Raw genomic sequence first — 15,106 nt, 5'->3', positions numbered from 1 at the left:
TTTTCCTGAGTTATGTATGTAATAGTGAACAGTTCACCTCCAAGATAGAGTGTAGTCTTCTTGATGCAAGCTTCTTCCACCTGTGTTCTCTTGGTTATCTTCCTTAGGAACTAGAACTAAAGCGAGGTTAATTTCCACAGTGAGAACATGCTCCAGACATCCGAGCACCAGTGTGGCTCTGGAAACTCCACAGATACCACAGGACTAGAAAATAACTGGACAATGGGATGTTCTATCTTGCCCGAACTGAGGGATATAAAAAGCTCCAAAGGTAAGATCTCAAGGCAAGAGACATTGAAGCTGGACTCATCCCCAACTACTCAAGAAAACAAGGTCAAAGAGATGCTCAAAAATCAGAGCTTTACTCAAACATTGTAGAAGATAGTTAGATTTGATACATGTCAAATTCCTTCCAATCCTTCCTATGTTTCTTTCATTCTGTGAGATTTTATCTGAACACCCTGTGAAGCTTGGATTTGAACTTAGAAATATCTAACTCCGAAGTCCAAACACAGCTACTGCTCTTTGAACATGACAAGAGAGCTGGGTTCCCAGTTTGATCTACAATAATTCGAAAAACCTTGTCTCCTATCCTCTGGTAATGGCTTGCTCCAACATCTAGCATTCAACCACCTTCTAGGTGGAAATGAAAGAAGTTGCTGGGTTAAAGAGAAACTCTACTAGCAGAGAGAGAAAGTAACAAAGAATGGTACTCTTTCTTCTTGAAAATCTCTGTGGCAGAAAAACATGTTATCTAAAAACTTAAGGCTTGGCTGGGCATGGTGGCTCATGCCTATAGTTCCAACACTTTGGGAGGCCAAGGTGGGTGGATCACTTGAGGTCAGGAGTTCGAGATCAGCCTGGCCAACATGGTGAAACCCCATCTCTACTAAAAATACAAAAGTTAGCCAGGCATGGTGGCATACCTGTAATCCCAGCTACTTGGGAGGCTGAGGCATGAGAATCACTTGAACCTGGGAGGCAGAGGTTGCAGTGAGCCAAGATAGCACCTCTGCACTCCAGCCTAGGCGACAGAGTGAGACTCCATCTCAAAAAAAAAAATTAAGACTTTAGGAGAAAATAGATATGAAAACAAGGTCAAAATGAACCTATAAAAGTTCTTACGGATACTCTTCATGGTCACTAAATTAAAAAGATAAAAAGATAGCATACTGATTAAGGAGAATATCAGTAACTTACACGTCTTCAAATTTAAGATAATTGATTTTGTATAGTTCATTTCCATTGACCATTCACTCCTTGCTGAAAGTTTTTTAGACTTTATCTCCTTCTTGATTTCAATGAAGCACTCGAAATTTTTTTCATTTTTACAAATAACTCACATGTTAAAGGTCATTTGCCTCAGTGTTAGATTCTCCATTCAAACGTTCAGTATCTTTCTGATTTTATATAGAGTCCCACTATAGACACAGCTACATTTGAATAATTTGAAAGACTGAGATTCTTTGGATAACTTGACTTGCAGTCTTATAACTATCCAATGTTATACAGCCCTTATTCAGCTGATGATTAATTTATATTATAAAATTATAACAAGCACAGGACATCAGCATTGCTTACATACATCTCAGCTCTCTTCCTATTAAAGAAAATGAAGCTGAGTTCTGAGGGTCAAATGTATTTTCCCTGTGCTTTCAAAGTCTGCTAAAACATCTACTTACTCTCTCTCTTCACAAGAACATAAGCAACCTCAGTGCAGGTATGTTTTATTTAGTGATGCACCATAGCAATTGAAAGAGTGCCTAGCACATATAAGTATTCAGTAAAATATTTGTTGAGTGAAAACCATCCACTCTACCTTTCTACTCCCTACCACCAAGTCCCTCTTATTCTGTTTACCCCAAAATAAGTCATTAAAAATTAGCTAATAGAGGTCGGCGCAGTGGCTCACGCCTGTAATCCCAGCACTTTGGGAGGCCGAGGCTGGTGGATCATGAGGTCAGGAGACCAAGACCATCCTGGCTAATACGGTAAAACTCCCTTTCTACTAAAAATAGAAAAAATTAGCCAGGCGTGGTGGCCGATGCCTGTAGGCCCAGCTACTCAGGAGGCTGAGGCAGGAGAATGGCGTGAATCCAGGAGGCGGAGCTTGCAGTGAGCCGAGATTGGGCCACTGCACTCCAGCCTGGGTGACAGAGCGAGACTCCATCATACATACATACATACATACATACATACATACATACATACATACATAAATGTACTAAGCCAAAAAATAATTCACCTATGGGGAAGAAATTCTGCATTGCCCTCTAAGGACAAACTATGTAGGCTGTAATGTTTAACAAACTTCAAAAACATTTAGGATAGCACACAAAAATTACAATTCAGTAAAAGAAAATCTTTAAACTGAATATTTTATATTACTGTTCTGTCCATTATCCAGTGCTTTTACAGGAATTCCCTACTGACCAATTCCTTCCACACTTGACCCCCACCTCATCGCATGACCTCACTCTTCTGTTTCACAGAGAAGAGCTCTCCATGATCTTCTCTTCACCCTCTAAGTCCACAGCCCCCACACTCTCCAATATGTTGGATAAATCCACCAAAAAATGCTAAATAATATCAACATTATCACTCAGGTAAATACAAAAATGAGGATATATTTGACATAATTAAATGAAATCATACTATCTCAAGCTGAGGAATTTGCATTTACTTCACAAATTTCAGAGCCTCCCAAGGATACATGAATATTAATGTAACTTACTACTGCATAAACTAAAGCACTCACCAAGGGATCCTTCCCTTGTATAAAAAGCTTCCTCCAAAAGTAAATTCCATCTTCCATACGTGGAACCACAGGATACTGGAGGCATAAATAAGCAGGAGGAAGAGGAAAAGAAGAAACTAAAGAAGAAAGAGAGAGAGAAAATAGTTTATCCTTCTCTTTAGCAATCAATGGTTCAGAAAATAATGGGGTTCCGTCTCAGAGCCCTATGCTACATATTCTAAACAAGTTTAAAATTAGACGGTAAGCAAAGATACACTCAGGAAGTTCTAGAACTTCTCAAGCCCACCTGTACTCCACTGATTGTCTTTTGAATTTTGGCACAGTTAAGGAGGCCTCATAGTCACTGTGTCTCTCACAGCGCAGAAGTAAGAGGCAGAGTCTTTCATCTGGAGCTCCTGTAGAAGGAGGTAACCATAACTATCAGAGCGACTAAGGAATGAAGAAAAACGACCTGTCTCCTCCAAACCATCCAGAGCATTGTAAGAAAGAAATGTGGGTGCTCCGCCATCATGTTGCTGGTACCAGGACAGCCCATAAAACCCAGATGTCTGGTACGTGCAGTTTATCTGGACAATGGCTCCTTCCACAGCTGTCACTTCAGAGGGCTGCTCAAGGCTTTGTCCTGCAGTGCCTATGACAAGATACATGATTGTTACTAGGGCAGCACCCCCAGAAGCCCCATCATTATTAAAAATGATGTTTCCTCCAAAAACTATTGGAATAATTTTTTAAATGATGCTTCCATGTGGTCACAAAAGAACTGCCATTGATGGGAGAATTTCTTAGACTGAAATAAATGGTTGCAGTAACAGCAGCAGCAATAGTAACAGGAGGACAATTAGCACCACGTTAGGAAAATGCATATTCAGGAAATACTCTCATTACAAATGTCAAAATTTGCAATAATTTAGCTGAAAGGAAATTGTTTTGAAAATTCCTAGCAGCATTTACTATTAGATTGAGACTCACCTCCCATCTTCATGGAAACATAGAGAAGGAAAGCTCCCCACATCTGCTGCAGGATACCATGAGCCTGGCACTGCATCCCCGGTTCCTGAGCCACTGTAGTCTGCAGAAGGTAGACACTTCATGTGGGTGAGGGAAGGAAGATCAGTCCGGATGCAAAACCCAGTAGAAATACAAAGGGAGGAGCTTCTTTCTTGAAGGGATGAGTTTAAGCTTCCTTCCACTGGAGCAGCTATGGTTTCTCTTACAGGAGTATCTTTACATGAACATTTTCTACTGATAAATCCACAGGTTTTAAGCTGGGCACAGTGGCTTATGCCTGTAATCCCAGCTACTCAAGACGCTGAGGTAGAAGAATCCCTTGAGGCCAGGAACTGGAGACCAGCCTAAGCAACATGGTGAGGTCCCTATCTCCAAAAACTAATCCACACATTTTAATCCAAGTGATTATGGTGAACATCGAACATGTAAAGAACAGAGAAAACAAATGGGAACATAAGGCAAAGTCAAAACTAATCAATTTGACCATACTAACAGTTTTCTTTCTCATGATACAACAAAATGAAATCCAGGATCAATTAGAGATGCAGTGTGTGTGTGCATATACTAAATATTGTTTGTTTGTGTGTCATATATATTTTGGAAGCTAGAAAGACAAGGAAATTTACCTACCATTTAAGTGTGCTTACAACAGCTAATATAGAAATAATCTTTAATATATTCAAAAGTAAGTTGCAGAGTGATGAGTATTGAATGATATTTTTATCATAAACTTATGTACATATGCATACATTTTTAAAAGTGTGAGGATATACTCAATAAACTACTAACATTGGTTATGTCAGGGGTTGCAGTGGGTTGCAGTGAGTTGAGTTAATTTTTTTTGGTACATCCCTCTATTGGTTAATGTTAAAATAGACATGTTTGATTATGTAATTTTTTAAAAAACTAAAGGAAAGAAAAGAGGTATAACAGGAAAAAAGAGCTGGGAGCAGTGGCTCACACCTGTAATCCCACCACTTTGGGAGGCCAAGGCAGGCAGATCACTTGAGGTCAGGAGTTTGAGACCAGCCTGGTCAACATGGTAAGACCCCATCTCTACTAAAAATACAAAAATTAGCCAGGTGTGGTGGCATACACCTGCAATCCCAGCTACTCAGGAGGCTGAGGCAGGAGAATCACTTGAACATAGGAGGCAGAGGTTGCAGTGAGCTGAGATCAGGCCACTGCACTCCAGCATGGGCAACAGAGTGAGACTCCATTTCAAAAAAAAAAAAAAATAGAGGAAGAAAGATCTGAGAAAAAAGGAGGAAAACAGAGAGGAAAAAATGGAAACTTCAACAATATGTTAAACTATTTATCAGATGTCTCAGAAAGAAATTTCTTATGTCTACAAAATTGTTTCATACCTATTTTTCATACCTATTGGCCTCTCATTAATACTATTTAATATCAAAGATGGCTACAATTAAAGAAAGACCTACAATAACAAGTGTTGGCAAGAATGTGGAGAAGTTAGAAACTTCATACATTGCTGGTGGAAATTTAAAATGGTGCAACCACTTGGAAAACAGTTTGCTAGGTCCTCAAAACATTAAACATAGATTTACCATACGACCCAGGAATTCTAGGTATTTATCCAAAAGAAATAAAAACATATGTTCACACAAAAACTTGTACATAAATGCTAATAGCAGCATTATTCCCACTAGCCAAAAAGTGTAAACAACTGAAATGTCCCATCACCTGATAAACTGATAAAATATGGTATATCCATAAAATGAAATATTATTCAGCCATTACAAGGAATGAAGTATTAATTACATGCTACAACATGGATGGCCCTTGAAAACATTTTGCTTTGTGAAAGAAGTCAGACTCAAAAGATCATGTATTGTATGATTCCATTTGTGTGAAATGTTCAGAATAGGCAAATCCATACAAATAAAAAGTTAATTAACAGTTGCCAGGAATTGGGGGCTGGGAGAGCCAGGGTAAGTACAGGGAGGGGCTACTAATGAGTATGGGATTTCTTTTTGAAGTGATAAAAATGTTCAGGAATTAGCTAGTAATCAATTCACAACTTTGCAAATATACTAAAAATTCCTAAGTAATATACCTTAAAAGAATAAATTGTATGTTACGTGAACCAATGTTCATAGATGTTGGAGAATCTCACTATGCTTGAAATCAATGTACTATATTTTTTAAAAAGGTATTTACTGAGTCCTGCCATGAGCACAGTTCAACTTTTGTAACCTGCTGTCTGACTGGCATTTTAAATCTTTGCTGCTCCTTTTTGCCACAGAGTCAAAATCATCTTCCCACAAAGAAAGCTATGGAATCAAGAATGTTAAAATTGGCCAGGACTAGGAATAGTGGCTCACGCCTTTAATCCCAGCACTTTCAGAGGCTGAGACAGGAGGATCACTTGAGCCCAGGAGTTGGAGACCAGCCTGGCCAACATAAGGAGACCCCATCTCTACAAAAAATAAAAATAAAAAACTAGCCAGGCATGGTGTTATGCACCTGTGGTCCCAGCTACAAAGGAGGCTGAGGTGGGAGGATCACCTGAGCCCAAAAGGTCAAGGCTGCAGTGAGCCATGATTGCACCACTTTGGGAGGCTGAGGCAGGAAGATCACTTGAACCCTGGGCAATATAAGGAGATCAGCCTGGGCAACATAGAAAAAACCCTTGTCTCCACAAAAAAATTTAAAAATTATCCAAGCATGTTGGCAGGCACCTGTAGTTTCAGCTATTCAAGAGGCCAACAAGGGAGGATCACTTGAGCCCAGGAGTTCGAGGCTGCAATGAACTATAATCATGCCACTGTACTCCAATCTGGGCAACAAAGCAAGACCCTGTCTCAAAAAAAAAAACTGATGCTACTGTTGCACCATGGGGAAAAAAAGTGTTAAAACTACTGCTGGGTCCATTCTGACTTAAGTTTCTCCTTGATTTTCGTAAGTATATAGTATAACTTGTATATGCTGAATTCAGTCGCTTGTACAACAGCAGACTTTGGTGCAGCAGTAGGTGGATTGAGAATGCGGTGGAGAGGGGGTATTGCCTGCCTCCTCACCTTAAACAGCATTATTTGTGCATTTTGCCCATGTTTCATAAAAATTAGTAGAAAACGAGAAACTTAAATTTTTAGTGCCAGGGATGAAAAAAATTGAAATAAACTGCATGCAACTAGGATAAAGATAGAAATAAACACGCTGTAAGAAAAAAAATTTCAAAGGCAATTTATATCCTTATGAACCCACTAAAAGCATTATTTTCTATTTACTGCACATAGTAGGCTCATAGCACCTGGATATAATAAATATAATGTTGCCATCTTGTGACACCACATATCATTGCCATTTTATACACACACCCCCAAGGATTAAAATGTTCTTTCCCTATCAAAAATATAAAAAAGAGCTCAAGGTGGCCCTTAAAGCCAGGCTGGAGAGTTTGGACTTAGTCCTTAGGGCAGTGAGAAGGCACTGAAGAATTCAGACCAGAGAACTTCAGAAAAATGGCAGATAGGAGACAGGACTAACTTGCAGCTCCCACTTGGACGCACAGAGCAGCGTGTGGAGACTCACATCATAAACTTTTGCTCCAAGGACTACCACAAAAACATACCAGGAAAGCTGAGATAATCCACAGACCTTTTGGAGGAAGTGGGTTGCTGCTGCAGGCCCCCGGAGACAGCTGAAAAACTGTGAGTGCCCAAAGTGTGAAAGTGTGAAAGAAGGATCATCTGCCCCCAAACACACACCCTCATTGGGGAATCTGAAGGCCCAAATCACAGGAGAAGAATTTGACCTCATATACAGCTGAGACAAATTTAGAGAGCTGAGCAAAATACAGGGGTAGAAGAAGAGGTGGGAAGAGCCCTTTGGGTACCCTCAGTCCCCAGAGAAGCCATTTCTAACTTTGTCTCACAGGAGCTTTGGGAAGGGCTGCCAGAAGAACTAGGAAAAGACCATAGGGAGAAGAAAACTTCCAGCTGAACCTTGTAACAATTTCCACCAAACGCAAAGTTTCCTGGACAGAACCTAGGGGAGGGGGTGAATCGGAGCGCAGACACAGCACAGAAGCCATGGCAGGCAGGGGGTGTGAAACCTGAAAGCCCTGCTTGCTTTCTCAGCCAGGAGGCTGGTAGCCCCGGGCAAGTTCTCAGCTCTGCTCACCCTCTGCCTGGAAATAAACTCAGTGTTGTTGCGAGTGGGAAAGGAGGGTCATGGTGGGAGCGAGACCAGCCTTTTGGGCTGCATGGGAGCTGAGTGAGGCCTGTAACTGCCGACTTTCCCCCACTTCCCTGGAGACCTGCGTGACACAGCAGAGGGAGCCATGATCCCCCTGGGAACATAACTCCATTGGCCTGAGAACCACACCTCCACCCCCCGCAGCAGTGGCAGCAAGCCCCATCCAAGGAGAGTCTGAGCTCAGACATGCCTAGCCCTGCCCCCACCTGATGGTCTTTCTCTACCTGCCTAGGCACGGATGGGTAGAATGGGTAGAATGGGTAGAATCAATATTGTGAAAATGATCATACTGCCAAAAGCAGTCTACACATTCAATGCAATTTTCATGAAAATATCATCATCATTCTTCACAGAACTAGGAAAAACAATCCTAAAATTCATGTGGAACCAAAAACAATCCCATACAGCCAAAGCAGTACTAAGCAAAAACAACAAATCTGGAGGCATCGCATTACCCAACTTCAAACTATACTGTAAGGCCATAGTCACCCAAACAAAACAGCATGGTACTGGTATAAAAATAAGCATGTAGACCAATGGAACAGAAGAGAGAACCCAGAAATAAATCCAAATATTTACAGCCAACTGATCTTCCACAAAGCAAGCAAAATCATAAAGTGGGGAAAGGACTCCCTATTCAACAAATAGTGCTGGGATAATAGGCTGGCCACATGTAGAAGAATGAAACTGGATCCTCATCTCTCACCTTATACAAAAATCAACTCAAGATGGATCAAAGACTTAAGTCTAATACCTGAAGCCATAAAGATTCTAAAAGATAACATCAGAAAAACTCTTCTAGACATTGGTTTAGGCAAAGAATTTATGACCAAGAACCCAAAAGCAAATGCATCAGAAACAAAGATAAATAGATGGAACTTAATTTTTTTTTTTTTTTTTTGAGATGGAGTCTTGCTCTGTCACCCATGCTGGAGTGCAGTGGCATGATCTCATCTCACTGCAACATCCGCCTCCCGGGTTCAAGCAATTCTCTGCCTCAGCCTCTCAAGTAGCTGGGATTACAGGTGCCTGCCACCAAATCTGGATAATTTTTTTGTATTTTTAGTAGAGAAGGGGTTTCACCATCTTGGTCAGGCTGGTCTTGAACCCCTGACCTCGTAATCCACCCGCCTCGGCCTCCCAAAGTGCTGGGATTACAGGCTTGAGCCACCGCGCCTGGCTGGAACTTAATTAAACCAAAAAGCTTCTGCACAGCAAAAGAAATAACCAGCAGAGTAAATGGACAACCCACAGAGTGGGAGAAAATATTCACAGTCAATACATCTGACAAAATACTAATATCCAGGATCTACAAGGAACTCAAACAAATCAGCAAGAAAAAAACAAACAATCCCATCAGAAAGTCTGCTAAGGCCGGGTGCGGTGGCTCACGCCTGTAATCCCAGCACTTTAGGAGGCCAAGGTAGGTGGATCACCTGAGGTCAGGAGTTCGAGACCAGCCTGGCCGACATGGCAAAACCCCATCTCTACTAAAAAATACAAAAATTAGGTGGGGTGTGGTGGCTCATGCCTGTAATCCCAGCACTTTGGGAAGCCAAGGCAGGTGGATCCCTGAGGTCGGGAGTTCAAGACCAGCCTGACCACCATGGAGAAACTCCATCTCTACTAAAAATACAAAAAATTAGCCAGGTGTGGTGGCACATGCCTGTAATCCCAGCTACTCGGGAGGCTGAGGCAGGAGAATCGCTTGAACCCAGGAGGCGGAGGTTGCAGTGAGCCGAGATCATGCCATTACACTCTAGCCTGGGCAACAAGAGTGAACTCCGTCTCAAAAAAAAAAAAATACAAAAATTAGCTGGGTGCAGTGGCAGTCACCTGTAATCCCAGCTATTTGGGAGGCTGAGGCAGGAGAATCGCTTGAACCCAGAGGCAGAGTTTACAGTGAGCCGACGTTGCGCCATTGCACGCCAGCCTGAGAGACAGAGCAAGACACCATCTCAAAAAAAAGAAAAAAAAAAGTGGGCTAAGGACATGAATAGAAAATTCTCAAAAGAAGATATACAAGTGGCCAACAAACTCATGAAAAAATGCTCAACATCACTAATGATCAGGGAAATGCAAATCAAAACCACAATGCGATACCACCTTACTCCTGCAAGAATGGCCATAATAAAAAAACAAAAAATAATAGAGGTTGGCATGGACGTGATGAAAAGGGAACACTTTTACACTGCTATTGGGAATGTAAACTAGTACAACCACTATGGAAAACAGTGTGGAGATTCCTTAAAGAACTAAAAGTAGAACTACCATTTGATCCAGAAATCCCACTACTGGGTATCTACCCAGAGGAAAAGAAGTCATTATACGAAAAAAATACTTGCACACACATGTTTATAGCAGCACAATTTGCAATTGCAAAATAGGAAACCAGCCCAAATGCCCACCAATCAAGGAGTAGATAAAGAAATTGTGATATATGTATATACACACACACACATACACCGTGGAATACCACTCAGACATAAAAACAAGTGAAATAATGGCATTCGCAGCAACCTGGATGGAGTTGGAGACCACTATTCTAAGTGAGGTAACTCAGGAATGGAAAATCAAACATCGTATGTTCTCACTCATAAGTGGGAGCTAAACTATGAGGATGCAAAGGCATAAGAATGACACAATGGACTTTGGGGGCTCAGGGGAAAAGGCTGGGAGGGTGGTGAGGGATAAAAGACTACAAATTGGGTGCAGTATACACTGCTTGGGTGATGGGTGCACCAAAATCTCGGAAATTACCACTAAAGAACTTGTTCATGTAACCAAACATCACCTGTCCCCCCAAAACCAATTGAAATAATAAATATAAAAATTTAGAATCAAGGCCAGGTGCAGTGGCTCACGCCTCTAATCCCAGCAGTTTGGGAGGCCAAGGCAGGCAGATCACCTGAGGTCAGGAGTTCAAGACCAGCCTGTTCAACATGGTGAAACCCCGTCTCAAGTAAAACTACAAAAATTAGCCAGATGTGGTGGCACATGCCTGTAACCCCAGCTACTCGGGAGGCTGAGGCAGGAGAATCCCTTGAACCTGGGAGATTGGGCCACTGCACTTCAGCCTGCACGACAGAGTGAAACTCCATCTCAAAAAAAAAAAAAAAAAAGGAATCCTTCTTATTCTTATCTCTTACCACTATTTATATGAGCCCCCTTCCTTGGGTGTGCTTCCAGTGATTAGCACTTGTTAATTCTTCTTGAGGGGTTGGAGGAACCTGTTTGTCAAGTCACATGTACCTGAGTCTCACTGAGAGGCTCTAGTCAGTGCCAGTGGAGAGAGAAACATCTTGGATGTCTGTGGACAGAGAAAACACACAGTGATTCAAATATATGAGCTTCAAATTGGGAGCCACCAGGACAAATGCTCTAAATTGCAGGGGTAGATTTGTAATCACACTGCTTCTCATCTAGACCACTTGATTCTGCATTAGCCTAAATTAATAGTAGTGGGGCTTTATTTGTTTAACAATGGTTACTCTTATTTTGAACAACTTTTGGGAAAAAAACCTGGTTTTGGATATAGGAACACAGCCTTATAAGGAATTTTGCTACCTACTGTAGATTTACATATCAATTGTAGAATGAGACAACTAAAGGACTATATGGTTTTTAAGCTTTGTTTTGATTCTAAATTTTTTTTTTTTTTTTGAGACAGAGTCTCCCTCTGTCATCCAGGCTGGAGTGCAATGGCCCAATCTTGGCTCACTGCAACCTCCGCCTCCCAGGTTCAAGTGATTCTCCTGCCTCAGCTTCCCAAGTAGCTGGGACTACAGGTGCCCACCTCCATGCCCAGCTAATTTTTGTATTTTTTTAGTAGAGACAGGGTTTCACCAACGTTGGCCAGGCTGGTCTCCAACTCCTGACCTCAAGGGATCCACCCACCTCGGCCTCCCAAAGTGCTGGGATTACAGGCGTGAGCCACTGCGCCCGGCCAGGGATCTTATACTAGCAGAGTATCAGTGTTGTTCACCATAGTCTATCTCTATTCCAAACTACCTTTTAAACAGATACACGAGTGATCAATGTACGATTTCAACTTGACTGTGACATTCTCCTACTTAAAGCCTTCAGTGGCTCCCCAGCCCCTACAAAGTAAGGGCAGATTATTATTCCATCATATAAAATTCCAACTATGTATCACTTAAATCCACTTAACCTATACTGCAGATACTCTGAGTTGCAGATTGGTGTGAATGGCCTTTCCCCATTCACACAGGGCGGCTTCAAGCACCCCACCTATTGCTCCCTTTTTCCTCTGCTGAAGTGTCCCTCCCTGTCTACTTATCTTTCAAGAGGAGCACAGGGCTACCTACTCCGTGAAATTTCTCTAGTCTCTGCCTCTAATTCCACTAAAACCATCAGCAAACATAACTTCACTCTTCTTTGTGGTCCCACTCTAACCTGTAGTTAATATATTCTTCCCACTATACTATAAACTTATTGAAGATGAGGTAGGACTAAACCATTTCTTCCCCAAATAAATACCTGTGTGTATATGTATAGTCACTGATGATCTTGAAAATGAAAGTTTTGTGCAAGTGGAAGACGAGGAAAATCCTACTGCACTAAACTTAAGAGATAAAGTCAAAACAGTGAATATTAAGTAATATTTGAAGGATTCTGGCATAGAAGGAATCACGGAAATAGAAAAGATGTGGGTAAAATGTATAAGATATATTATGAGTAATATACAATTTTTTTATGTAAGTGAGGTTTTGCTCTCCCAAAAGAGATAGTGGTGATGCTAGAATGGGAAATGAGAATAAATATTAGATGAGGGAGAAAGGAACAGCCTGGATTCAGAGAGGGGGAAACGTATGCTTCCAGGAACAATGTCGGGGGGTGAGATGGCAGGCCTCCAAACTCAGCTCTGTTGGAAGAGGGTTACACTTACCTGAGCTAAACCGAAGAGCCAGGTCACTGAGGAGCTGTGGCAATGGCAGCCCAGGCTGTGGTGGCTGTGGGAAAACAGCATGGCCATGGCAGTGAGGGGAGAAAGACATCCTGCCTACATTTGAACAATAAGAGGTCGTGACTAGGTTGATGGAGGGAACTTGCCCATGGCACTGAGGCAGAGATGGCAAAAAATCTTCTGTACCACCAGTGACATCATGTGGCCAAAGATCACCAGACTTCTCTACTAAAAATAGGTTGCTGGATTTTCCCTTCTATAGAATGTTGCAATTATACTGACCTCTAGAAATGAATAAGCCAGCCCAGGACTTCCACTCCTGCCTGAGGGGAGTGGAGCCGGAGACGGGACCAGAGGTCGAACTCGGGTTCTGACAAGATGGCTGGGCTGCCCCGTAGAATCATCAAGGACACCCAGCATTTGCTGGCAGAAGGAGTTCCTGGCATCCAAGCAGAATCACGTGAGAGCAACACCTGTTATTTTCATGTGGTCATTGCTGGCCCTCAGGATTCCCCCTTTGAGGGAAGGACTTTTAAACTTGAACTGTTCCTTCCAGAAGAATAAGCAATGGCAGCCCCTAAAGTACGTTTCATGACCAAAATTTATCATCCTAATGTAGACAAGTTGGGAAGAATATGTTTAGATATTTTGAAAGATGAGTGGTCCCCAGCACTGCAGATCTGACAGTTCTGCTATCGATCCAGGCCTTGTTAAGTGCTCCCAATCCAGATGATCCATTAGCAAATGATGTAGTGGAGACATGGAAGACCCACGAAGCCCAAGCCATAGAAACAGCTAGAGCAGCGACTAGGCTATATGCCATGAATAATATTTAAATTGATCCAATCGCCAAGTGTGCATCGCTTCTCCTGTTCTGCCAAGACTTCCTTATTTTTGTTTGCATTTAATGGACACAGTCTTAGAAACATTACAGAACAAAAAAAGCCCAGATATCTTCAGCCTTAGGTGATTAAATGCAAAAGAAAAAAAAAAAGTAATGGATAAGCCCCGGGGTCCTTGAATTTATCACAGAAAGAAAGTAGTGGTGGCAGGCCGGCGTGGTGGCTCACGCCTGTAATCCCAGCACTTTGGGAGGCCAAGGCGGGTGGATCACCTGAGATCAGGAGTTCGAGACCAGCCTGGCCAACATGGCAAAACCCTGTCTCTACTAAAAATACAAAAATTAGCTGGGTGTGGTGGCTCATGCCTGTAATCCCAGCACTTTAGGAGGCCAAGGCGGGTGGATCACCTGAGATCAGGAGTTCAAGACCAGCCTGGCCAACATGGCAAAACCCCGTCTCTACTAAAAATACAAAAATTAGCTGGGTGTGGTGGTGCGCACCTGTAGCCCCAGCTACTTGGGAGGCTGAGGCAGGAGAATCGCTTGAACCCGGGAGGCAGAGGTGCAGTGAGCCGAGATCGCACCACTGCACTCAAGCCTGGGTGACAGGGCGAGAGTCTGCCTCAAAAAAAAAAACGACAAAGAAGGTAGTGGCAATAAGAATATTTCCACAATAGCTACATGGAGACTCCTGAAATTTAACTCAAATATTCAAAGCTGCCACTTTATTTTATATCACAAGGTGAAGTGAGACATACCAGCTCCTTATATTCATTCCTCCCAGCTATAGGAAGAATCAGTCTTACATCCCTCTGTCCTTTATACCTCTGCAAAGAAGCAATACTTTTACATATCTTGATGTGCTCTTCTATTTGCAAGTCTATGAATAGCACCTTATTCCTAGCCACTTAAAGCATCAATATGCTGGGAAGGGGGAAAAGGGAGGAAGTGTGGCAAAGAAGATTAGGATAGCAGCGTTGCAGTAGAAATAAGCAAGATAAAAAGAATCATTATTCAGCCTCCCATAGCCAAAATAGGTTTTCATGTCGGCAACAAGCCAATCAGCTTGAAAGGCAGGACTTGTCATGAGAGAAACAAGTTTTCTAAATTAATTTATCTCCCTCTGTAATACATCAAGCCAGGCTTGGTAGACTTGGTCACAGAATTTATATGTTGAAGGCTCCACATAGAATTAAGTGAAAGCAGGAAAACCTCGCCCCTGCAAATTTGGGAGAATCATGAAGGGAAACAGAGGTAGACCAAGGAGGTTAGATGCCAGGGTTCTTTTTTCTTTTCCTTGACTTGAAACCAACCCTTAAGATAAATGGGAGCTTATGGAGTATAAGAAAAC

General features: G+C 42.1%; 1 pseudogene, 1 gene segment (V, D, J or C) and 1 further gene, besides 5 other annotated features; 1 reads left to right on the top strand and 2 right to left on the bottom strand.

Annotated features, from left to right (window-relative positions):
• The window catches only part of TRA (T cell receptor alpha locus), a 930,229-nt gene extending 926,459 nt beyond the window's left edge, over positions 1-3,770 (bottom strand).
• Positions 3,068-3,076: a recombination feature (nonamer).
• Positions 3,077-3,099: a recombination feature (spacer).
• Positions 3,107-3,770, bottom strand: TRAV1-1 (T cell receptor alpha variable 1-1). The segment is given in 2 exon segments: positions 3,107-3,389; positions 3,728-3,770. Coding segments are annotated over 2 exon segments (326 nt in total), but the record flags the coding sequence as incomplete, so codon positions are not given.
• Positions 3,382-3,389: a sequence feature (TRAV1-1 leader sequence).
• Positions 3,728-3,770: a sequence feature (TRAV1-1 leader sequence).
• Positions 7,487-7,989: an enhancer, noted in NCBI's record as "H3K27ac-H3K4me1 hESC enhancer chr14:22085839-22086341 (GRCh37/hg19 assembly coordinates)". NCBI's record gives its function as "activates a minimal SCP1, AML or CMV promoter by ChIP-STARR-seq in naive H9 embryonic stem cells {active_cell/tissue: H9 hESC(naive)}" and the evidence as "EXISTENCE:reporter gene assay evidence [ECO:0000049][PMID:30033119]".
• On the top strand, positions 13,230-13,901 carry UBE2NP1 (ubiquitin conjugating enzyme E2 N pseudogene 1; annotated as a pseudogene).

Source organism: Homo sapiens, chromosome 14, assembly GCF_000001405.40.
Source record: "Homo sapiens chromosome 14, GRCh38.p14 Primary Assembly".
NCBI classification, from domain to species: domain Eukaryota; kingdom Metazoa; phylum Chordata; class Mammalia; order Primates; family Hominidae; genus Homo; species Homo sapiens.
The sequence above is the reverse complement of the archived record's forward strand: the minus strand, read 5'-3'. Positions and strand labels throughout refer to the sequence as shown.